Source organism: Homo sapiens, chromosome 6, assembly GCF_000001405.40.
Source record: "Homo sapiens chromosome 6, GRCh38.p14 Primary Assembly".
NCBI lineage: Eukaryota > Metazoa > Chordata > Mammalia > Primates > Hominidae > Homo > Homo sapiens.
In genome coordinates, this window is record NC_000006.12 from 144,025,293 (window position 1) to 144,049,921 (window position 24,629).

Consider the following 24,629-nt stretch of genomic DNA (forward strand, 5'->3'; position numbering starts at 1 on the left):
AAAATGTGAGAGACTGTCACAGCCAAGAAGTCCCTAAGGAGACTTTGTGACTAAATGTAATGAGGAATCCTGGAATAGAAAAAGGACTTAGGGGAAAATGACTGGAATCCATCCAAAGTATGAGGTTTACTTAATAATAATATGTATCACTATTGGTTCATTAATTGTGACAAATGTACCATAGAAATGTAAGATGTTAATGCTCGGGGAAACTGGGTGCTAGGTATCTAGAAACTCTCTGTACTGCCTTTGCAACTTTTTTGTAAATCTGAAACTATTCTAAAGTAAAAACTATATTTTTAAAAAACACCTACTGGACGGGCACAGTGGCTCACACCTGTAATCCTAGCACTTTGGGAGGCTGAGGCGGGTAGATAACTTGAAGTCAGGAGTTAGAGACCAGCCTGGCCAATATGGTGAAACCTTGTCTCTACTAAAAATACAAAAAAAATTAGCTGGGTGTGGTGGCACGCACCTGTAATCCCAGCTACTCAGGAGGCTGAGGCAGGAGAATCGCTTGAACCCGGGAGGTGGAGGTTGCAGTGAGCCGAGATCATACCATTGCACTCCAGCCTGGGTGACAGAGCAAGACTCCATCTCAAATAAATAAATGAATAAATAACACCTACTTGCCCAAGTTCTACCTGAAGAGATTTGGATTCAGTCAGTCTGGGAATACTGCCACATATATAACACGAATACTAAGTAACAACTAATAATGGACAAAATCTACCTCTAAAGAATTTCTCCAGTTTATCCCAGCTCCTTATTACTTTCCCAACCCATTCATTCATATATTCAATAAGCATTTATTCCTACTGAAATGAAAGAATAAAAAGTATTAGAATCCAACTTATATAATAAAAGATTAGGTTGTTTCGTGTATGTGTGTGTGTCCTGGATTATGATATAAAATGCAATTCTTAATACAGATTTAAAGCCAAAAGAGTTTGAAATCTACCATAATAAATTATGTCCCTGGCCTCAAGGAGCTTCGGTTTAGCAGAGGAAAAAAGGTGAGTAAATCTTAGAGAAAAGATTTTGCTTTAACAATAGCAAAATAGAACTGTTTTCTATGGTTTATACTAAAAAATAGTACTGCATTAACCAACTCACAAAATCTTAGCCTAAGAAGTATCATGGCATATTTACACTTATTCATTTATAATTTATTCCACCATATCTCCAGAAAGAATTTATAGCAGCTGTCTAGTTAAGATAGTCATCCCTGGCTATGAAATTTAGAGACCTGTGGTTCAACTGCCACATAAATCTTCTGTACAAATAGCCTAAAAAATTTCTGATGGTATATTCTTATAGAAACCCATGTTTTCCAATAATTCATCTATACCCAAGCCCGACTTGTCCAAATTTCTTTGCTTATTGTTTCAAGTTAGAATAAATATGTATTTTCAATCTCTAGATTACATTCACAAGAACACAGTACTGCTCAAGATCTGTTAGTGCTTAATCCTTTGGATGCCCTGCAAACCACTGTAACTACTGGCAAAGCAGATAGGAACATTTCTTTCTAAAGACAAAAAATGGTAGCTTTTCAATTTCAGGTTGGATCAGTTTGCTTAGACTTCTCAGTGCAAATTAAGCTCATCAATAAAACCTAGTATTAGCATTATTTTGGCCAGGTGCAGTGGCTTACACCTGTAATCACAGCACTTTGGAAGGCCGAGGCAGGAGGATCACTTGAGTCCAGGAGTTCAAGACCAGTGTGGGTAAAAAAGTAAGACCCCACCCCCCGACTCTACAAAAACAAAATTAAAAAAATTAGTCAGCCGCGGTGGCATGCATCTGTGATCCCAGCTACTCAGGAGGCTGAGGTGGGAGGATCACCTGAGCCCACGAGTTTGAGGCTGTGGAGAGCCATGATCATGCCACTGCACTCCAGCTTGGGTGACAGAGAAAGACCCCAACTCAAAGAACGAACGAAAGAAAGAAAGAAAGAAAGAAAGAAAGAAAGAAAGAAAGAAAGAAAGAAAGAAAGAAAGTTATTTGATCTGAAGTACAATGTCTTTAAGAAGTGAAATCTGTAAGTATTCAGAATAAGAAGCAAAACTGCAGGTGAGGATCTTTTTGTTTCTTCTACAATCCCATGAGAAACAGCTAGGGAAGAAGAGAAAACAGGACAAACTAGTAGGAAGAAATAGAGAAGCAGTTAATAGGAGAAATAGGAGAATGCAGATACCACTCAAGAGTGAGGGAGTAGAACAAAAACAGCCAATATAACAACACTAACCTCCACCTCCCACCATCCTCCAGCACCAACTGCACCCATGGAAAAGAACCTATAAAAGCACCACAGTCAAATTCTAAGACTGTACAGTGCTTTGATTTACACAAATATAACCTCTTGCTCCAACAGATGAAAGCTCCTTTAAGTGTTCTTGTTTTGAAATGAGGTTATATATTTAAAAGTCTCTTTAGTGGGAAACACTTCGCTCTGTCAGGGAAATGTTAATCATATTTGCTAAACTTACTATTATATATCCATTCTAATAATCTCCATTTCTCCAGTCTTGCAAATATGTGCACAGACTCACATATAAGGTCCTAAAGAAAGGATTTTGCTGATGCTCCCCAATTTTCTCAGAGTGTCTTTCATTTTGATATGAGAATAAACAGATGCCTGGCAGCATTTGTTTTTGAAAAGAGAGAGAACAAGGAAATATAAAGAATTCAAAACTCCAAAAATGCACAGGATTGTCCCTTTGAAGTCTCAGCACCTCAAACAATTTAAATAATGGCTCATATGGTTCTTTATCACTCTTACTATAATTTTATGCTATAACCAAAGCAGGCTTCCTTTGTGAGGTTAATTATTTAACTGTATGCAGTTATTATATAAGCCATTAACTTTTCAAACATTTATTCCTTTAGAATACTCTGTCTAAAATTAACTATTACTCTTGTAAGTGTTCCAAAGTATATTAGTATAAAACACATTATATCTTTTAAATTATATATTTTAAGTCAGTTCTCTGTAGTCTCCTATGAAAATGTTCTATCTTAATTGTAGTCACAGCTCCAAGGGTAAACACATTTGTCAAAATTCAAGCTGTGCATTGAGACTGGTTGCATTTTACTGTGTGTAAACTGTAACTCAGTAAAGCTGATGAGGAAAAAAGACTCTGTCAAGTGTGATGAAGATGTGGTGGGAGGGGAGCAGGGAAAGGGGCCTAATTTTAAAAGAAAGTCAAATCACTAATAATTTTAAAAGGAGAAATAAAGATTTACTGTTAAGTGCTAATTTTAGGGTATGGCTGTAAAGTGAGCTGCACCTTCTCCCAGTGAAATACATAAAAGAGTACATTCCCTGCAATCCTGATATCCGTCTATAAAAGAAGAAAATCTGGATAAACTAGCTCTATTCAGGACAAAACAATGATCAGTTTTCTTTGCTCTACTTTTGGCTGCTGAGGGTGTAGAGAATGTCAAATACTCAAAGCAAGTGGATCCAAAGCAAATGCTTGTTATCTACGTGCTGGGACTACAATATCATCCATGATGCTGTATTTTTTTCTTATTATAAAAATACATGCTTGTTTTAGAAGTTTTCAGAGACCATAGAAACATTTTAAATAAAATAATATCACTTCCAAATTACAGTAATTAATCTGCCTTCCATTTTTTCTCATTTTTTATGTAATTGAGATGATCTGGAATAATTACAGTATTGATTCTGGTCTCAACTTGAACAAACATAATCCCATGACCTTCATTTGTAAACATTTTATTACTATATGTTTTGAGGAACTTCCTGTAGATATTATTTATACGAGTTGCATAATAATCTATTATGTAGCTATATCACAAGTAAAGCACCATTCTTCAGTTGTTGAACTTCTATATTATCTTTTTTAATTTATAAAGAATGGAATGAACATCTTTACATATAAATCTTTCAACATATTTTAAATCATCTCCTGTGGTAAGGAAGGCATTTCCAAGTTTGCACAAACCCCAACAGCCACAAAAAAATTAATAAATTCAACCATGTAACAAAATCAGATTCTCTGTATGATAAGACATACCATAAACAAAGTCAAAAGACAACAACAACCTGATGGGGTGGGAGCAGGGGTAACTGTGATTCACAATAAAGGGCTAATTTCCTTAATATAGAGAAAGCTTCTACAGATAAGTAAGGAAAAGATTAACTCAATAGAATAATGAACAAAGAATAGGAAAAGACACAGCTCATTTCGTGAAGAATAGAGAGCTAGCTCTTAAGTCTATTAAAAGATACTCCTCATCATAAGAGAAATGCAAATTAAAACTATGCTGAGATTTTCCACTTATCAGATTGGCAATGATTCAAAAATCTTAACACATACTATGCTGTCAAGCATTTGGAGAAAGGCACTCTCATCTCTCACATATTGCTGATCGGAGTAGAAACTGGTACAGCCTTATGGAAGGCAACCTTATGGAAGTTGCCTCACATATTGCTCACATATTGCTGATGGGAGTAGAAACTGGTACAACCTTATGGAAGGTAAAATCTATAAAAAGTATAAACACGTGCACTGTTTGATCTCACATTTCCACTTTTAAGAATATGTCCTGTAGATAAACTAACATGTTCAATATGATGGAAGAACAAGGTTAGGCAATAAAGCTATATTTCTAATAGCAAAAGTTCAATAATAGAAGACATAAATTTTGACTGGGCGCGGTGGCTCACGCCTGTAATCCCAGCACTTTGGGAGGCCGAGGCGGGAGGATCATGAGGTCAGGAGATCGAGACCATCCTGGTTAACACGGTGAAACCCTGTCTCCACTAAAAAATACAAAAAAATTAGCCGGGCGTGGTGGCAGGCGCCTGTAGTCCCAGCTATTTGGGAAGCTGAGGCAGGAGAATGGCGTGAACCTGGGAGGCGGAGCTTGCAGTGAGCCGAGATTGCGCCACTGCACTCCAGCCTGGGTGACAGAGCGAGACTCCGTCTCAAAAAAAAAAAAAAAAAAAAAAAAAAAAAGAAGATGTAAATTTTAATACAATGGATATAAGTTCATATAATGGAATAAGGTACAGCTTTTTAAAATTTTTTTATTTCAATAGGTTTTTGGGGAGCAGGTGGTGTTTGGTTGCATGAATAAATTCTTTAGTGGTGATTTCTGAGATTTTGGTGCACCCATCACCTGAGCAGTGTACACTTTACCCAATGTGTAGTCTTTTATCCCTCACCACCTCCCAACCTTTTCCCCCAAGTCCCCAAAGTCCAATGTATCATTCTTAAGCCTTTCTGTCCTCATAGCTTAGCTTCCACATATAAGTGAGAACATACGATGTTTGGTTTTCCATTCCTGAGTTACTTCACTTAGAATCATAGTCTCCAATTCCATCCAGGTTGCTGTGAATGCCATTACTTCATTCCTTTTTATGGCTGAGTAGCAGTCCATGGTATACATACACCACATTTGCTTTATCCACTTGTTGACTGATGGGCATTTGGGCTGGTTCCATATTTTTGCAATTGTGCTGCTATAAACATGAGTGTGCAAGTATCTTTATCGTATAATGACTTCTTTTCCTCTGGGTAGATACCCAGTAGTGGAATTGCGGATCAAATGGTAGATCTACTTTTAGTTCAAATGGTAGATCTACTTTTAGTTCTTTAAGGAATCTCCACAGTGTTTTCCAAAGTGGTTGCACTAGTTTACATTCCCGCCAACAATATATGTGTTCCCTTTCCACCGCATCCACACCAACATCTGTATTTTTTTTTATTATGGCCATTCTTGCAGAAATGAGGTGATATCGCATTGTGGTTTTGATTTGCATTTCCCTGATAGTGATGTTGAGCATTTTTCCATATGCTTGTTGGCCATTTGTATATCTTCTTTTGAGAATTGTCTATGGATATCCTTAGCCCGCTTTTTGATGGAATTGTTTGTTTTATTCTTGCTGATTTGTTTGAGTTCTTTGTAGATTCTGGATATTTTTCTTTGTCAGATATATAGGTTGTGAAAATTTTCTCCCACTCTGTGGGTTGTCTGTCAACTCTGCTAATTGTTTCTTTTGCTATGTGGAAGCTTTTTAGTTTAATTAAGTCCCATCTATTTATATTTGTTTTTGTTGCTTTTGCTCTTGGATTCTTGGTCATGAAGTCTTTGTCTAAGCCAAGGTCTAGAAGGATTTTTCTGATGTTATCTTCTAGAACTTTTACAGTTTCAGGTCTTAGATTTAAGTCTTTGATCCATCTTGAGTTGATCTTTGTATAAGAAGAGAGATGAGGATCCAATTTCATTCTCATACATGTGGCTTGCAAATTATCCCAGCACCATTTGTTGAATAGGGTGTCCTTTCCCCACTTTATGTTTTTGTTTGCTTTGTCAATGATCAGTTGACTGTAAGTATTTGGCTTTATTTCTGGGTTCTCTAGTCTTTTCCATTGGTCTATGTACCTATTTTTATACCAGTACCATGCTGTTTTGGTGACTATGGCCTTAGAGTACAGTTTGACGTTGGGTAATGTGATGTCTCCAGATTTGTTCTTTTTGCTTAGTCTCGCTTTGGCTATGCAGGCTCTTTTTTGGTTCCATATGAATTTTAGGATTGTTTTTTCTAGTTCTGTGAAGAATGATGGTGGTATTTTGACAGGAATTATATTGAATTTGTAGACTGCTTTTGGTAGTATGATCAATTTCACAATATTAATTCTACCTATGCATGAGCATGGGATGTGTTTCCATTTCTTTGTGTCATCTATGATTTCTTTCATAGTCATGATGACCTTTTCCCCTTTACCTATTTGGGCACAATGGTTTTTATAAAATATATGGTATATCAAGTTTCTCCCTATAACTTATTGCATTTTTTTTTTTTTGAGACAGAGTATCTATCTCTCTGTTGCCCAGGCTGGAGTGCAGTGACACAATCACAGCTCACTGCAGCCTCAACTTCCTGGGCTCAAGCGATCCTCCTGCCCCAGCCTCCTGAGTAGCTGAGACTCCAGGCATGTGCCACCACACCTGGCTTTTTTTTTTTTTTTTTTTGGTGGAGATGAGGTTTCACTATGTTGCCCAGGCTGGTCTCAAAGTCCTGGGCTCAAGTGATCCTCCCACCTCAGCCCCACAAAGTGCTGGGATTTCAGGTGTGAACCACCATGCCCAGCTACTTATTGCAATTTTTAAGCCAGTTTTTATCTGCCTTCTAATTTTTAGCTTCTTGGCAGAAATTTTAAGTTCTAAGTGGTAAAATAGTGTCATAATTTCTTCTACCTCCTAGTTCAGTTTTGGTTGTGTTTTTGGGGTTTTGTTTGTTTGTTTTTTGAGACGGAGTCTTGGTTTGTCACTCAGGCTGGAGTCAAATGGCACAGTCTCGGCTCACTGCAACGTCCGCCTCCTGGGCTCTAGCAATTCTCCTGCTTCAGCCTTCCAAGTAGCTGGGATTACAGGCGTATGCCAACACGCCTGGCTAATTTTTGTATTTTTAGTAGAGACAGGGTTTCACCATGTTGGCCAGGCTGGTCAAACTCCTGACCTCAAGTGATCCAGTGTGCTGGGATTACAGGCATGAACCACCATGCCCAGCCTACCTAGTTCAATTCTAAGCATTCTTTGGTTGCTACTATGTTCCAGGCAATTACTAAGTAAACCCTGAGAGGTAAGAGATTAAGAGGGACACTATATCGGGGCAATAGACATGTGATAGATAATTCTATATGGCATGATAAGTGATGATGAAGGACCACATGCTATTATGGACACACAGATTTAGGTCACTTAGCTGAACTCAGTAGTAGAGCCCAAGTTTCTAGAAGAAATTATTCATTAGATGAATTTTAGAAAACAGGACATCAGCAAATAAACAAAATGGGAAGAGCATGCTAGGTAAAGGTCATACCACAAGAAGTGCGCAGATATGTGAGTGACATGAGGACTACTGCCTGTAATTGCTAAAGCCTGGAATATACAAAGAATGGTGAGAGACGATGTCAGAGCTACTGCAGGGTCAGCTTGGACTTTTTACCTACAGACCTAGGGCATAATAAATACCAGGTTTAAGCCACTAAGTTTGTAGTAATTTGTCAGGGCAGCAATAGAAAACTAATATGAACTTTGCTGCCTGGAAGTGGTGTGCTGTTGTAACAAATATCTAAAAATGTGGAAAGCCTTGGAATTGGGGAGTGGGTAGAAGCTGGAAGAATTCTGAGAAACATGATGGAAAAACCTAGATTGTCTTCAGCAAACTGAAATACAGACAGGAAAGGTGGTACCAGTGAGAGTTCAGAAGGAAATGAGGAACACATTACTAGAAACTGCAGTAAGGATGATCTTTGTTATATACTAGTAGAAAGCTTAGTGAAATGTGTCCTGTAGTTATGTGGAAAGCCAGAAGTGTAAACAGTGGACTGGGATATTTAGCTAAAGAGATGTCCAAGTTTAGAACTGATCAGGTAACTTAACTACATGCCAGAACAAAGTCCAACACTATTTAAAGGAATAAAACAAAATCCAGCATAAAACAATGTAAAATCACAAGGTCTACCTTCACATCAAAAAATTATCAGGCATGCAAAAAAGCAGGAAGATATGACCCATAACTAGAGAAAAAAATCTGTCAAAAGAAATGGTCTTTTCTAAGTCTGAGGTAATGAGACTTGAACATAAAAGCAGCTATTATAAATGTGCTCCAAACACTCAAGAATGTAGAAGAACCCAAATAGAATTGCTAGAGATGAAAGATACACTATGCAAAATCAAAAACACATGGATGCTTTTACTACACTACAGACATGGTCTCCATGTAGTACATATAAAACTGCAGACTTCAATTTTCCTGGAGTCTTTTATACTGTTAATTACATCTCCATGCAGGGCTGAAAAGAATGACCTGTGTTTACATGTAAAACCACGTTGTTGGAGGAGGGGGTGCCCCAGCTTAGCGAACCCCAGCCTCCCTCCTGGGGTGCCTCATTCCAGGGCTCTTCCATCTTTCTCTAGCTGCCAAGGCCCAGGCTGACAACCCCCCAACCACACCACACCCTCTGGACTGAAGCCTCTAGGCCCCAGATTGCTGACTCAGGCTGCTGGGCACACAGCCCCCAGGCTGACTGGAAGACGGGGCTCACTGCACACTCATCCCAAGGGCAGTGACTTAAGCCTCTCCAGTTTTCCTGTTAACTAAGTAAGCCTCAAGTCCTTTTAGTGTTTGTTTCTCTTCAAGAAAATAAAACACTTATTTGTTTCCTTTGTATCCTCCTCTCATTCAGGGGGTTCAATAAATCATCTGCCAGAAAGGAAGTGTGCAGCTAATTCAGTCCTCCAGCAAAGAAAAGTGGGAGGCCCCGACAAATTGTCATTATGCAATAATGAACCTTGGACAGCCAAAATTTCATCTACAATATCAAACATGGAACTTAACTTTGGAGTTTATTTTATTCTAAAAATCAGGTTTTCCCCCTAGCTTTTAAGATTGAAAAAAAAAATCTTCCTTGGAGGGGACTGTCATCTTACATAGCTGACAGTAATTTTCAGATTTGTGGAGTTTTGCAAGCTTTAAGCAAAGTAGATGAACCAGGAACAAAGCATCAGCTTTGTTTAACATCACTGAGTAGACTAATACTCCTCCCAGAGCCTGATCTAGGACTACAGCTGAAGGCTTTCAGGTTTGGACAAAAATCTTTGAGTATTAACTTGGAAATAAGGTAAATTGATGGATGGGTATGTAATACATTGAGAACAGTTAAATGTTAATGATAGAATCTAGTGGTGGGTATAAGGGCATTCACTGTAAAATTCAACTTTCCTGTACATTTCAAAGTTTTTCATACTAAAATGTTTCAGGGGGTTGGGGGTATATTAGGGTTATCTAGAGACACATAACTAATAGGATAGATGTATATATGAGAGGGAGTTTATTAAGGAGAATTGACTCACACAATCACAAGGTGAAGTCATACAATAGGCCTCCTGCAAGCTGAGGAGCAAGGAAGCCAGTGGTAGATCAATCCAAGCACCAAAAACTCAAAGATAGGGAAGCTCACAGTGCAGCCTTCAGTCTATGGCCAAAGGCCCGAGAGCCCATGGAAAACCACTGGTGTAAGTCCAAGAGTCCAAAAGCTGAAGTACTTGGAGTCTAATGTTCAAGGGCAGCAAGCATCTAGCACGGGAGAAAGATGAAGGCCGGAAGACTCAGCAAATCTGCCCTCCCATCTTCTCCTGCCTGCTTTATTCTAGCCGTGCTGGCAGCTGATTAGATGGTGCCCAACCAGACTGAGGGTGGGTCTCCTCACCCAGTCCACTGACTCAAATGTTAATCGTCTTTGGCAACACTCTGACAGAGATGCCCAGGAACAATGCTTTGCATCCTTCAATCTAATCAAGTTGACATTCAATATTAACCATCACAGGGGGCAAGAGGCTTTGTGTCAAATCCCTGTTGCTATGAGTGGTGAGACTAGAACAAAATGCCCAATACTCAAATTACCTCATTTTCTTGTTTTTTCTTCTTTTTGCCTCTAGATATGATACCTCATTTTTTTAATATGTGTAATGTAGATCATTACTGATCTCATATGGTTGATGAGAAAAATGACAATGTCAAGAACATTTCTGGCACTACTAGAGGCCCTCAAATCAAGGGTAGCCACCTGGTGGGGCAAAGAAACGCAGTTCAGGGATCACTGGAGTGGGCTGGTGAGAAACTTCTTTAAGGAGGTGGAGGAGCAGGGGCATTTCTGGGTTTTATTGTGCCTGGATGGCCATCTGATTACGTGTGGCTTAGCCTGGAAACCCTCAATGCAGGACTCCAACCCCAAGAAAGTGCTTCAAGGACACCCCAGGTGGACCCAGAGGGCAGCTACAAGCCGACTTTTATGCTCTGCCTCCAGAATGACTCCTTCCAATGCTCACTAATGCTTAGGGGCCTGAGGAGAAGTCTTTTATGCCCAGAAATGACAACCACTTCCTCTGACTCTAAGAACAGTCCATTTAGGCTATTTCATCTTTGCCAGTTTCATTTTAGGAAACACAAGCCTTATAACACAATCCTGAGGAAATCAGCTGTGAAATACACAGACTTTGTGCAGAGAAGTGGTGCAAGTGTGCAATGCTTCAGTCTTAGTGACTGAAGACAGCCAGCCCACATGCCCAGTACCAAAGGGGCACATGCTCCACACCAAATGGGCAAAAATTCCACAGCCGAGCCTGCCCAGACAAGGGGACCCGCTACACAACTCCACACCCTCAGCACTTTGTGACAGGACAATTACTGCCGCGTGACAGGACTCCAGTCCTGGGGCTGCTACCGGGTGCAAGTGACATGCTGGAAAGAGCGTGGTAGACATCTAGGGGCCAACTCTAGGAACATGTGTTTCTTATTCAGAATAGCTTTTTGTTTTGTTTGTTTTAACTTGTGAGGCTTCTTCACTACTCAGGGACGAAAGAAAGAGGAAAGAATGGAAAAAGTGAAACTACAGAACAGAAATTGTGCAACTTCCAGAAAACTGCTCTAAGACAAGCAAGAAGGCAGACCTGCTAAATGCCCATTATGACACTATTTGACTAAACAGGTTTGAAATACTCTGGCATAAAATGAAGGCCATCCCCTAATGGTTTGTTCTTGGTGTTGGACAAATCATAAAAGGACCAGACATTGCTGTGATGAATTATATGCCCTGGAGAGAGGCAGAAAGTGATTACACCACCTTCATTTGCACATGGAAAGGAAAACTAAAGGTAGTATCTTAAATCTTTCCTTCGCACAGTCTGCTTGCCTCTTGTCACAGAGCACGCCTGCGTGTCTCTAAAAGCATGTGATATTTTAGTGCTTTAATTAAGTATACATGTAAAGGCAAGAGTCCACCTGATACAACACTGATTTTTGAGACTGAATTTTATGCTGTGACCAGAGGACCACTGAACCATTTAAACAGAAAGACACCATGACAGACAACTCTCTAAAACAGAGCTAATCACTACCTAAAAGAGAAGTTTTAAAAAGATGAGAAGCCATGTGACAAGTCATATCAGAATGCAGTTTTAGGCCAGGCACAGTGGCTCACATCTGTAATCCCAATATTTTGGGAGGCCAACGTGGGACAATAACTTGACCCCAGGAATTCCAGACCAGCCTGGACAACACGGTGAAGCCCCATCTCTACCAAAAAAAAAAAAAAAAAAAAAAAATAGCTGGGTGTGACAGTGTGCACCTGTAGTCCCAGCTACTTAGGAGGCTGAGATGGGAGGATTGCTTTTGCCCAGAAGTTCGAGACTGCAGTGAGCTATCATATGATTGTGCCACTGCACTCGAGCCTGGGTGACAGAGCAAGACTCCATTTCTAAAAAAAACAAAAACAAAGCAGTTTTAGAAGATATTTTAAAGAAAAATGATCATGATGGTGACAGTTTCATTTCTTTTAAGGAATACAATGCATATCAACATTATGAACTATGTTTTTTATTTCTATATTTTCTTAGATATTTACTGTCTTTGTTTACAAAATAGTCACTTTCACAAAAAAACCCAAACCCAAACTACTGCTTTTGATGTTGTGCTATTGTACATAGAAATGTACACAGTAAGGTTCTGCAATGAAAAGCACGTACTCTTGAGACTTAGTACTGCTTTGATTCATTGTTCAGGCTACAATTTCCCCCCTTAGAATGTAAGAAAAGTTAGCGCTTGTCGCCAATAAATGGTAATACTAAAATGAACTAACTCCCACCTATGCAAAGAGAAAAATAATTGAAAAAAATGAGCAAAGTCTCTGAGATCTGTGGGAACAATATCAAGTTGTCTAACAGATAGTAGTTGGAGTCTCAGATGGAGGATAGTAATAGCATTTGACAAAATAATGGCTGAAAATGCTACACATCTGATGAAAGCGATAAGCCTGCAGATCTATGAATCTTAATAAACTCCAAAGCACAAAAAATAAAGCTACATGTGTTAAGACGGTAATACGACTGAAACTTATCTACTTATTGTTTGTTTGTTTGAACTTGTGAGGCTTCTTCACTACATAAGGTTGCCCTATCAAGATTTTGGTTAATTTCATTGTAGAAACTGACAAGCTGTTCCTAAAATTCATATGAAAATTCAAGGGAACCAGAATTACCAAAAAATCTTGAAAGAGTAGAACAAAGTTAAGGGGCCATCCTCCCTAATTTCAAAACTTACTACAAAGCTACAGTAATCAAGACAATGAGGTACTGGCATTAAGGCTAGCTATAGATTAATGAATAGAATCAAGCACCCATAAATAAACCCATATGTCTGTACCCAGTAGATTTCTGACAAGGATGCCAAGACAATTCAATGGGGAAAGAATAGTTTTTTTTCAATGAATGGATAAATAAAATGACATGTCCAAACAAAGAAATATATTTGGAAATAAAAATAAATGAAGTACTGATACATGCTACAACATGGGTGGCCTTTGAAAACATTATACTGTGTGAAGAAATCAATCACAAAGAACCACATATTATATGATCCCATTTATATGAAATGCCCAGAGTAGCCAAATCTAGAGAGACAGAAAGTAGATTAGTGACTGCCTAGGGCTAAAAGTGATGAAAGGAGTGGGGATGATGACTAAATGAAAAAGTCATAAACTTGATTATAGTGGAAAATGCACAACTCTATGAATATACTAAAAGCCATTTTAAATGGGTGAATTGTATGATATGTGAACTATATCTCAGTAAGTTGTTTTTTACAAAAAGAAAAGAAAACCATGCCAAGAGACACATCATAAAAATTGCTGAGAGCCAGTAATATAGAAAATAAATATCAGAAGTAGCTCAGGGATAGGGGAAAGACATAAAGTAAAAACACAAGCCACAAATTTGGGAGATAGGTTTGCTATTCCAGAATTATAAAAAGTGATTACAAATAAATAAGGAAGAGACAATCCAAAAGAAAAATGGGCAAGGCATATAAACAGGTGTTTTACTGAAGAATAAACAGAAATGGCTCAGAAACCAATGAAAAGATGGTTGACTTCATTAGTCATCAGATAATGAAATTTTAAAATATCACATGCTGGCCAGATGCAGTGGCTCACACCTGTAATCTCAACACTTTGGGAGGCAGAAGTGGGTGGATCATTAGAGGCCCAAAGTTTGAAACCAGTCTGGCCAACATGGCAAAACCCCATCTCTACAAAAAAATACAAAAATTAGCTGGGCATGTTGGCACATGCTTGTAATCCCAGCTACTCAAGAGGCTGAGACACGAGAATTGCTTGAACCTGGGAGGTGGAGGTTGCAGTGAGCCAAGATTGTGCCACTTCACTTCAGCCTGGGTGACAGAGTGAGACTGTGTCTCAAAAATAAAATCAAATAAAATATCACATGCCATTTTACACCCCAAAAATGAAAAGGTTGACAAGGAGAGATTTACACTTCTGATAGGGGTATTAAATAGCACAACCACTTTGATCAATAATTTGTAATAGTCAGTGAATACAAAGGGGTATATACTAAATGCTACAGAAATTCCATTCCTGGGTATAAATCCTAGACATATTTATGCATATGTACACCAAGATATATCTGCAAGAATGTTCACAGCAAATCTCTTTGTAGTAGCAAAAGGCCAAAAGGTCTATCAACAAGAAAATTAATACATTGTGGCACATAATGGCATCCTTATGCCAATAAAAATGGATGAAATTATAGTTAGGTTCAAAAGGCAAGCCTCCAGATAATTTATATCATATAATTCCATGTACAACATTCAACAACAAGCAAAACTAAACATATACAAATGTCAGGGAAAATGATGAACAAGGTTAGAAAATGATTAATATAAAAATACTGCACAGTGATAACATTTAATGAGAAAAAAAGAAGGAAGGGCTTAGGGAGGGACCTACAGGGAACTCCAAAGTTCATGGTAAGTACTAAATACATAATCAAAGCACTCAAAATAGAAAATATTTTAGTAATGTTTTAGCTAGTTAATATCTTACTTAAAACAAGGTCTAGGCCAGGCACGGTGGCTCACACCTGTAATCCCAGCACTTTGGGAGGCTGAGGCGGGTGGATCGCTTAAACCCGGGAGTTCAAGACTAGCCTGGGCAACATAGTGAAATCCTGGCTCTATTAAAAAAACAAAAATTAGCTGGGCATGGTGGCACATGCTTGTAATCCCAGCTACTCAGGAGGCTGAGGCAGGCAAATCATTTGAACCTGAGAGGCAGAGGTTGTGGTGAGCCAAGATCACACCACTACACTCTAGCCTGGGTGACAGAGGGAGACTCAGTCTCAAAAAATAAAGAAATATAAAAATAAAGAAAACAATGTCTAAAAAAAAATAAAAGCTACTAGGAGGTAGCCAGGCACAGTGGCTCACACCTGTAATCCCAGCACTTTGGGAGGCCAAGGCAGTCAGATCACTTGAGGCCAGGAGTTCGAGACCAGTCTGGCCAACATGGCAAAACCTGTCTCCACTAAAAATACAAAAAAATTTGTGTGGTAGCACATGCCTGTAATCCCAGCTACTTGGGAGGCTGAGACAGGAGAATTGCTTGAACCTGGGAGGTGGAGGTTGCATGCAGTGAGCTGAGATCAGACCACTGCACTCCAGCTCAGGTGACAGACTGAGACTCTGTCTCAAAAACAAAAACAAAAACAAAACAAAAAAGCAAAGTAATAGGAGATGAAGAAGTAAAGATAGCCCACCTTGAATAATCTTTAAAACCCTTAGGTGGGAAAAAGAGAGAATATAGTAGTTAGAAAGGGATCTGTGGTCAAGAGACAGTTCGGCTTTATTCTTTTCCAGAACAGGAAATGTTTTGCAGACATATGAGCTGAGGGGTGAAGACCAATGGGGAGTAGCAAGTTAACAGTAGTAGTAGCCATAGTAATAGGAATAGTAAAAGCTAATATTTATTGAGAGCTTGTGGCAGATACTATTCCAACTTTCTATATATATATATACTTTAAGTTCTAGGGTACATATGCACAACATGCAGGTTTGTTACATATGTATACATGTGCCATGTTGGTTTGCTGCACCTATTAACTCATCATTTACATTAGGTATTTCTCCTAATGCTATCCCTCCCCCATGCCCCCACCCCACACCAGGCCCCAGTGTATGATGTTCCCCACCCTGTGTCCAAGTGTTCTCATTGTGCAATTCCCACCTATGAGTGAGAACATGCGGTGTTTGGTTTTTTGTCCCTGTGACAATTTGCTCAGAATGATGGTTTCCAGCTTCACCCATGTCCCTAAAAAGGACATGAACTCATCCTTTTTTATGGCTGCATAGTATTCCATGGTGTATATGTGCCACATTTTCTTAATCCAGTCTATCATTGTTGGACATTTGGCTTGGTTCCAAGTCTTTGCTATTGTGAATAGTGCTGCAATAAACATACAATATCTGCATGTGTCTTCATAGTAGCATGATTTATAATCCTTTGGGTATATACCCAGTAATGGGATCACTGGGTCAAATGGTAGTTCTAGTTCTAGATCCTTGAGGAATTGCCACACTGTCTTCCACAATGGTTGTACTAGTTTACACTCCCAACAATGGCATAAAAGCATTCCTATTTCTCCGCATCGTCTCCAGCACCTGTTCCTGACTTTTTAATGATCACCATTCTAACTGGTGTGAGATGGTATCTCATTGTGGTTTTGATTTGCATTTCTCTGATGACCAAGTGATGATGAGCATTTTTTCATGTGTCTGTTGGCTGCATAAATGTCTTCTTTTGAGAAGTATCTGTTCATATCCTTTGCCCACTTTTTGATGGGGTTGTTTTTTTCTTGTAAATTTGAGTTCTTTGTAGATTCTGGATGTTAGCCCTTTGTCAGATGGGTAGATTGCAAAAATTTTCTCCCATTCTGTAGGTTACCTGTTCACTCTGATGGTAGTTTCTTTTGCTGTGCAGAACCTCTTTCGTTTAATTAGATCCCATTTGTCTATTTTGGCTTTTGTTGCCATTGCTTTTGGTGTTTTAGTCATGAAGTCCTTGCCCATCCTATGTCCTGAATGTACTGCCTAGGTTTTCTTCTAGGGTTTTTATGGTTTTAGGTCTAACATTTAAGTCTTTAATCCATCTTGAATTAATTTTTGCATAAGGTGAAAGGAAGGGATCCAGTTTCAGCTTTCTCCATATGGCTAGCCAGTTTTCCCAGCACCATTTATTAAATAGGGAATCCTTTCCCCATTTCTTGTTTTTGTCAGGTTTGTCAAAGACCAGATGGTTGTAGATGTGTGCTGTTATTTCTGAGGCCTCTGTTCTGTTCCACTGGTTTATATATCTGTTTTGGTACCAGTACCATGCTGTTTTGGTTACTGTAGCCTTATAGTATAGTTTGAAGTCAGGTAGCGTGATGCCTCCAGCTTTGTTCTTTTTGCTTAGGATTGTCTTGGCAATGCAAGCTCTTTTTTGGTTCCATATGAACTTTAAAGTGGTTTTTTCCAATTCTGTGAAGAAAGTCATTGGTAGCTTGATGCGGATGGCATTGAATCTATAAATTACCTTGGGCAGTATGGCCATTTTCATGATATTGATTCTTCCTACCCATGAGCATGGAATGTTCTTCCATTTGTTTGTGTTCTCTTTTATTTTGTTGAGCAGTGGTTTATAGTTCTCCTTGAAGAGGTCCTTCACATCCCTTGTAAGTTGGATTCCCAGGTATTTTATTCTTTTTGTAGCAATTGTGAATGGGAGTTCACTCATGATTTGGCTCTCTGTTTGTCTGTTATTGGTGTATAGGAATGCTTGTGATTTTTCCACATTGATTTTGTATCCTAAGACTTTGCTGAAGTTGCTTATCAGCTGAAGGAGATCTGGGGCTGAGACAATGGGGTTTTCTAAATATACAATCATATCATCTGGAAACAGGGACAATTTGACTTCTTCTCTTCCTAATTGAATACCCTTTATTTCTTTCTTTTGCCTGATTGCCCTGGCCAGAACTTCCAACACTATGTTGAATTGAAGTGGTGAGAGAGGGCATCCCTGTCTTGTGCCAGTATTCAAAGGGAATGCTTCCAGTTTTTGCCCATTCAGTATGATATTGGCTGTGGGTTTGTCATAAATAGCTCTTATTATTTTGAGATATGTCCCATCAATACCTAGTTTACTGAGAGTTTTTAGCATGAAGGGCTGTTGAATTTTGTTGAAGGCCTTTTCTGCATCTATTGAGATAATCACATGGTTTTTGTCTTTGGTTCTGTTTATGTGATAGATTACGTTTATCGATTTGCATATTTTGAATCAGCCTTGCATCCCAGGGATGAAACCAATTTGATCTTGGTGGATAAGCTTTTTGATGTGCTGCTGGATTTGGTTTGCCAGTATTTTATTGAGGATTTTCGCATCGATGTTCATCAGGGATATTGGTCTAAAATTCTCTTTTTTTTTGTTGTGTCTCTGCTAGGCTTTGGTATCAGGATGATGCTGGCCTCATAAAATGAGTTAGGGAGGATTCCCTCTTTTTCTATTGATTGGAATTGTTTCAGAAGGAATGGTACCAGCTCCTCTTTGTAACTCTGGTAGAATTTGGCTGTGAATCCGTCTGGTCCTGGACTTTTTTTGGTTGGTAGGCTGTTAATTATTGCCTCAATTTCAGGGCCTGTTATTGGTCTATTCAGGGATTCAACTTCTTCCTGGTTTAGCCTTGGCAGGGTGTATGTGTCCAGGAATTTATCCATTTCTTCTAGGTTTTCTAGTTTATTTGCATAGAGGTGGTTATAGTATTCTCTGATAGAAGTTTGTATTTCCGTGGGATCATTGGTGATATCCCCTTTATCATTTTTTATTGTGTCTATTTGATTCTTCTCTCTTTTCTTCTTTATTAGCCTTGCTAGTGGTCTATCAATTTTGTCGATCTTTTCAAAAACCAGGTCCTGGATTCATTGATTTTTTTGAAGGGTTTTTTGTGTCTCTATCTCCTTCAGTTCTGCTCTGATCTTAGTTATTTCTTGCCTTCTGCTAGCTTTTGAATTTGTTTGCTCTTGCTTCTCTAATTCTTTTAACTGTGATGTTAGGGTGTCAATTTTAGATCTTTCCTGCTTTGTCTTGTGGGCATTTAGCGCTATAAATTTCCCTCTACACACTGCTTTAAACGTGTCCCGGAGATTCTGGTACATTGTGTCTTTGTTCTCATTGGTTTCAAAGAACATCTTTATTTCTGCTTCCATTTCGTTATTCACCCAGTAGTCATTCAGGAGCAGGTTGTTCAGTTTCCATGTAGTGGTGTGGTTTTGAGTGAGTTTCTTAATCCTGAGTTCTAATTTGATTGCGCTGTGGTCTGAGAGACAGTTTGTTGTGATTTCTGTCCTTTTACATTTGCTGAGGAGTGTTTTACTTCCAACTGGTCAACTTTGGAATAAGTGCAATGTGGTGCTGAGAAGAATGTATATTCTGTTGATTTGTGGTGAAGAGTTCTGTAGATGTCTATTAGGTCCGCTTGGTGCAGAGCTGAGTCCAAGTCCTGGATATCCTTGTTAACCTTCTGTCTCAATCTGTCTAATATTGACAGTGCGGTGTTAATGTCTCCCATCATTATTGTGTGGGAGTCTAAGTCTCTTTTTAGGTCTCTAAGGATTGTTTTATGAATCTGGGTGCTCCTGTATTGGATGCATATCTATATTTAGGATAGTTAGCTCTTCTTGTTGAATTGATCACTTTACCATTATGTAATGGCCTTCTTTGTCTCTTTTGATCTTTGTTGGTTTAAAGTCTGTTTTATCAGAGACTAGGATTGCAACCCCTGCTTTTTTTTTTTTTTTTTTGGCTTTCCATTTGCTTGGTAGATCTTCCTCCATTCCTTTATTTTGAGCCTATGTGTGTCTCTGCATGTGAGATGGGTCTCCTGAATACAGCACTCTGATGGGTCTTGACTCTTTATCCAATTTGCCAGTCTGTGTCTTTTAATTGGGGAATTTAGCCCATTTACATTTAAGGTAAATATTGTTATGTGTGAATTTGATCCTGTCATTATGATGTTAGCTGGTTGTTTTGCCTGTTAATTGATGCAGCTTCTTCCTAGTATCGATGGTCTTTACAATTGGGCATGTTTTTGCAGTGGCTGGTACTGGTTGTTCCTTTCCACGTTTAGTGCTTCCTTCAGGAGCTCTTGTAAGGCAGGCCTGGTGGTGACAAAAATCTCTCAGCATTTGCTTGTCTGTAAAGGATTTTATTTCTCCTTCACTTATGAAGAAGCTTAGTTTGGCTGGATATGAAATTCTGGGTTGAAAATTCTTTTCTTTGAGAATGTTGAATATTGGCCCCTGCTCTCTTCTGGCTTGTAGAGTTTCTGGCGAGAGATCCACTGTTTGTCTGATGGGCTTCCCTTTGTGGGTAACCCGACCTTTCTCTCTGGCTGCCCTTAACATTTTTTCCTTCATTTCAACCTTGATGAATCTGACAGTTATGTGTCTTGGGGTTGCTCTTCTCAAGGAGTATCTTTGTGGTGTTCTCTGTATTTCCTGAATTTGAATGTTGGCCTGCCTTGCTAGGTTGGGGAAGTTCTCTTGGATAATATCCTGAAGAGTGTTTTCCAGCTTGGTTCCATTCTCCCCATCACTTTCAGGTACACCAATCAAACGTAGATTTGGTCTTTTCACATAGTCCCATATTTCTTGGAGGCTTTGTTCATTTCTTTTACTCTTTTTTCTCTAAACTTCTCTTCTCACTTCATTCATTTGATCTTCAATCACTGATACCCTTTCTTCCACTTGATTGAATTGGCTACTGAAGCTTGTGCATGCGTCACATAGTTCTTGTGCCATGGTTTTCAGCTCCATCAGGTCATTTAAGTTCTTCTCTACACTGTTTGTTCTAGTGAGCCATTCATCTAATCTTTTTTCAAGGTTTCTGGCTTCCTTGCAATGGGTTTGAACATCCTCCTTCAGCTCAGAGAAGTTTGATATTGCCAATCTTCTGAAGCCTACTTCTGTCAACTCCTCAAAGTCATTCTCTGTCCAGCTTTGTTCTGTTGCTGGCAAGGAGCTGTGATCCTTTGGAGGAGAAAAGGTGCTCTGGTTTTTAGAATTTTCAGCTTTTCTGCTCTGGTTTCTCCCCATCTTTGTGGTTTTATCTACCTTTGGCCTTTGATGATGGTGACCTACAGATGGGGTTTTGGTGTGGATGTCCTTTTTGTTAATGTTGATACTATTCCTTTCTGTTTGTTAGTTTTCCTTCTAACAGTCAGGTCTCTCAGCTGCAGGTCTGCTGGAGTTTGCTGGAGGTCTACTCCAGACCCTGTTTGCCTGGGTGTCACCAGCAGAGGCTGCAGAAGAGCAAATATTCCTGGCTGATCCTTCCTCTGGAAGCTTCGTCTCAGAGGGGCACCTGGCTAAATGAGGTGTTAGTTGGCCCCTACTGGGAGGTGTCTCCCAGTTAGGCTACACGGGGGTCAGGGACCCACTTGAGGAGGCAGTGTGTCTGTTCTCAAAGCTCAAACACTGTGCTGGGAGAACCACTGCTCTCTTCAGAGCTGTCAGACAGGGACGTTTAAGTCTGCAGATGTTTCTGCTGCCTTTTGTTCAGCTATGCCCTGCCCCCAAAGGTGGAGTCTACAGAGGCAGGCAGGCAGGCCTCATTGAGCTGCGGGTGGGCTCCACCCAGTTCTAGCTTCCTGGACACTTTGCTTACCTACTCAAGCCTCAGCAATAGCGGACACCCCTCCCCCAGCCAGGCTGCCACCTCACAGTTCGATCTCAGACTGCTGCGCTAGCAGTGAACAAGGCTCTGTGGGCGTGGGACCCGCTGAGCCAGGAGCAGGATATGATCTCCTGGTGTGCCGTTTGCTAAGACCATTGGAAAAGCACAGTATTTGGGTGGCAATGTCCCGATTTTCCAGGTACAGTCTGTCACAGCTTCCCTTGGCTAGGAAAGGCAAATCCCCCAACCCCTTGCACTTCCCGGGTGAGGCAACACCCCACCCTGCTTCAGCTTGCCCTCCATGGGCTGCACCCACTGTCCAACCAGTCCCAGTGAGATGAACCAGGTACCTCGGTTGGAAATGCAGAAATCACCTGTCTTCTGCATCGATCACACTGGGAGCTGCAGACTACAGCTGTTCCTATTTGGCCATCTTGGAGCGGACCATTATTCCAACTATTTACCTACCTTAACTCACGGCATCCTCTCAACATTATAAGGTAAGCTCTATCTATTAGTGCATTCTCACATTGCTATAAAAATCTGCCCAAGATGGGGTAATTTTTAAAGTAAAGATGTTTAACTGACTCACAGTTCCACATGGCTGGGAGGCCTCAGGAAACTTACAATCATGGCAGAAGGGGAAGAGGCATGGCTTATGTGGCATGAGAAAATGAGAGCAAGAGCAGGGAAAATTCCCTTATAAAACCATCAGATATCATGGGAACTCACTCACTATCACAAGAACAGCATGGGGAAAACCATCCCCATGATCCAATCACCCCACACCAGGTCTCTCCCTCAACACGTGGGGATTGTGAGGATTATGGAGATTACAATTCAAGATGAGATTTGGGTGGGAACACAAATTCTAACCATATCATTCTGCCCCTGACACCCCCAAATCTCATGTCCTCACATTTCAAAACCAATCAGCCCTTCCCAACAGTTCCCCAAAGCCTTCTCATTTCAGCATTAACTCAAAAGTCCAAGTCCAAAGTCTCTTCTGAGACAAGGCAACTCCCTTCCTCCTAAGAGCCTGTAAAATCAAAACCAAGTTAGCTACTTCCCAGATACAATGAGGGTACAAGCATTAGATAAATGCTCCCATTCCAAATGGGAGAAATTGGTCAAAACAAAAGGGCTACAGGCTCCATGCAAGTCCAAAATCCAAGGGGACAGTCATTAAATCTTAAAGCTCCAACATAATCTCCTTTTATTCCATGTCTCACATCAGGGTATGCTGATGCAAGAAGTGGGCTCCCACGGTCTTGGGCAGCTCTGCCTCTGTGGCTTTGCAGGGTACGGCCTCCCTCTTGGCTGCTTTCATGGGCTGGCATTGAGTGTTGGTGGCTTTTCCAGGTGCACAGTGCAAGCTGTCAGTGGATCTAGCATTCTGGGATCTGGAGGACAGTGGCCCTCTTCTCACAGCTCCATTAGGCAGTGCCCCAGTGGGGACTCTGTGTGGGGGCTCCAACCCCACATTTTCCTCCTGGACTACGCTAGCAGAGGTTCTCCATGAGAGCTCCACCCCTGCAGGAGACTTCTGCCTGGACATTCAGGCATTTCCATACATCCTTTGAAGTCTAGGCAGAGGTTCCCAAACCTTGATTCTTGACTTCTGTGCACCCTCAGACCCAACACTATATGGAAGCCTCCAAGGCTTACAGCTTGCAGTCTCTGAAGCAATGGCTTGAGCTGTATGTTGGCCCCTTTTAGCTATGGCTGGGACACAGGGTGCCAAGTCCTGAGGCTACACAGAGCAGCATCAGGGCTGTAAGCCAGGCCCATGAAACCATTTCTTCCCACTAGGCCTCCAGGTCTGTTATGGGAGGGGCTGCCAAGAAGGTCTCTAACATGCCCTGAAATGTTTTCCCCATCATCTTGGCTATTAATATGTGGCTCCTCATTACTCATGCAAATTTCTGCAGCTGGCTTGAATTCCTCCTTAAGAAAATAGGTTTTTCTTTTCTACTACAAGGTCGGGATGCATATTTTCCAAACTTCTATGCTCTGCTTCCCTTTTAAATCCAAATTCCAATTTCAAACCATCTCTTTGTGAATGCATAAGATTGAATGCTTTCAAAATCAACCAGGTCACCTCTTGAATGCTTTGCTGCTTAGAAATTTCTTTTGCCAGTTACCCTAAATAATCTCTCTCAAGTTCAAAGTTGCACAGATCTCTAGGGCAGGGGCAAAATGCCACCAGTCTCTTTGCTAAAGCATAGCAAATGTGACCTTTGCTCCAGTTCCCAAGACTTTCCTTATCTTCATCTGAGACCACCTCAGCCTGTACTTCATTGTCCACATCATTAACTGCATTTTGGTCAAAACCATTCAACAAGTCTCTAGAAAGTTCCAAACTTTCCCACAACTTCCTGTCCTCTTCTGGGCCCTCCAATCTGTTCCAACCTCTGCCTGTTACCCAGTTCCAAAGTTGCTTCCTCATTTTTAAGTATCTTTATAGCAATACCCCACTACCTTGGTATCAATTAACTGTGTTAGTCAGTTTTCACTTTGCTATAAAGAAATACCTCAGATGGGTAATTTATAAAGGAAAGAGATGTAATTGACTCACAGTTCTGCACGGCTAGGGAGGCATCAGGAAACTTACAATCATGGTGGAAAGCAAAGAGGAAGCAAGCTTGGACCTTCTCACATGGAAGCAGGGGAAGAGTGAGGAGTGAAGGGGAAAGAGCCTCTTATGAAACCATCAGATCTTGTGAGAACTCACTCACTATCATGAGAACAGCATGGGGAAAACTGGCCCCATGATCTAATTGCCTCCCACCAGGTCTCTCCCTAGACATGTAGGGATTATGGGGATTACAATTTCAAGATGAGATTTGGGTGGGGACACAAAGCCTAATTATGTCACTCTATTACTAGTCCCATTTTTCAAATAAAAAACTGAGACACATGGAGGTTTGATAACTGTGTGACATACTTAGAAGGTGGCTCCAAAGCCAAGGTTTTTATCCTTCGTGCTGCGTAGCTTCTGATCATGAGGGAGAGGATAAATTGAGTAAG

At 40.2% G+C, this 24,629-nt stretch overlaps 1 protein-coding gene and 1 pseudogene across 10 annotated transcripts in view, besides 1 other annotated feature; one reads left to right on the top strand and one right to left on the bottom strand.

Moving 5' to 3' along the window:
* PLAGL1 (PLAG1 like zinc finger 1) overlaps positions 1 to 24,629 on the bottom strand; it is a 124,300-nt gene that overhangs the window by 84,993 nt on the left and 14,678 nt on the right. The gene's annotated exons all lie outside the window — the stretch shown is intronic.
* On the top strand, positions 11,209 to 12,473 carry LOC100131041 (FKBP prolyl isomerase 7 pseudogene; annotated as a pseudogene).
* Positions 11,269 to 11,318: an enhancer, noted in NCBI's record as "active region_25208". NCBI's record gives its function as "activates an Ori minimal core promoter by ATAC-STARR-seq in GM12878 lymphoblastoid cells {active_cell/tissue: GM12878}" and the evidence as "EXISTENCE:reporter gene assay evidence [ECO:0000049][PMID:35858748]".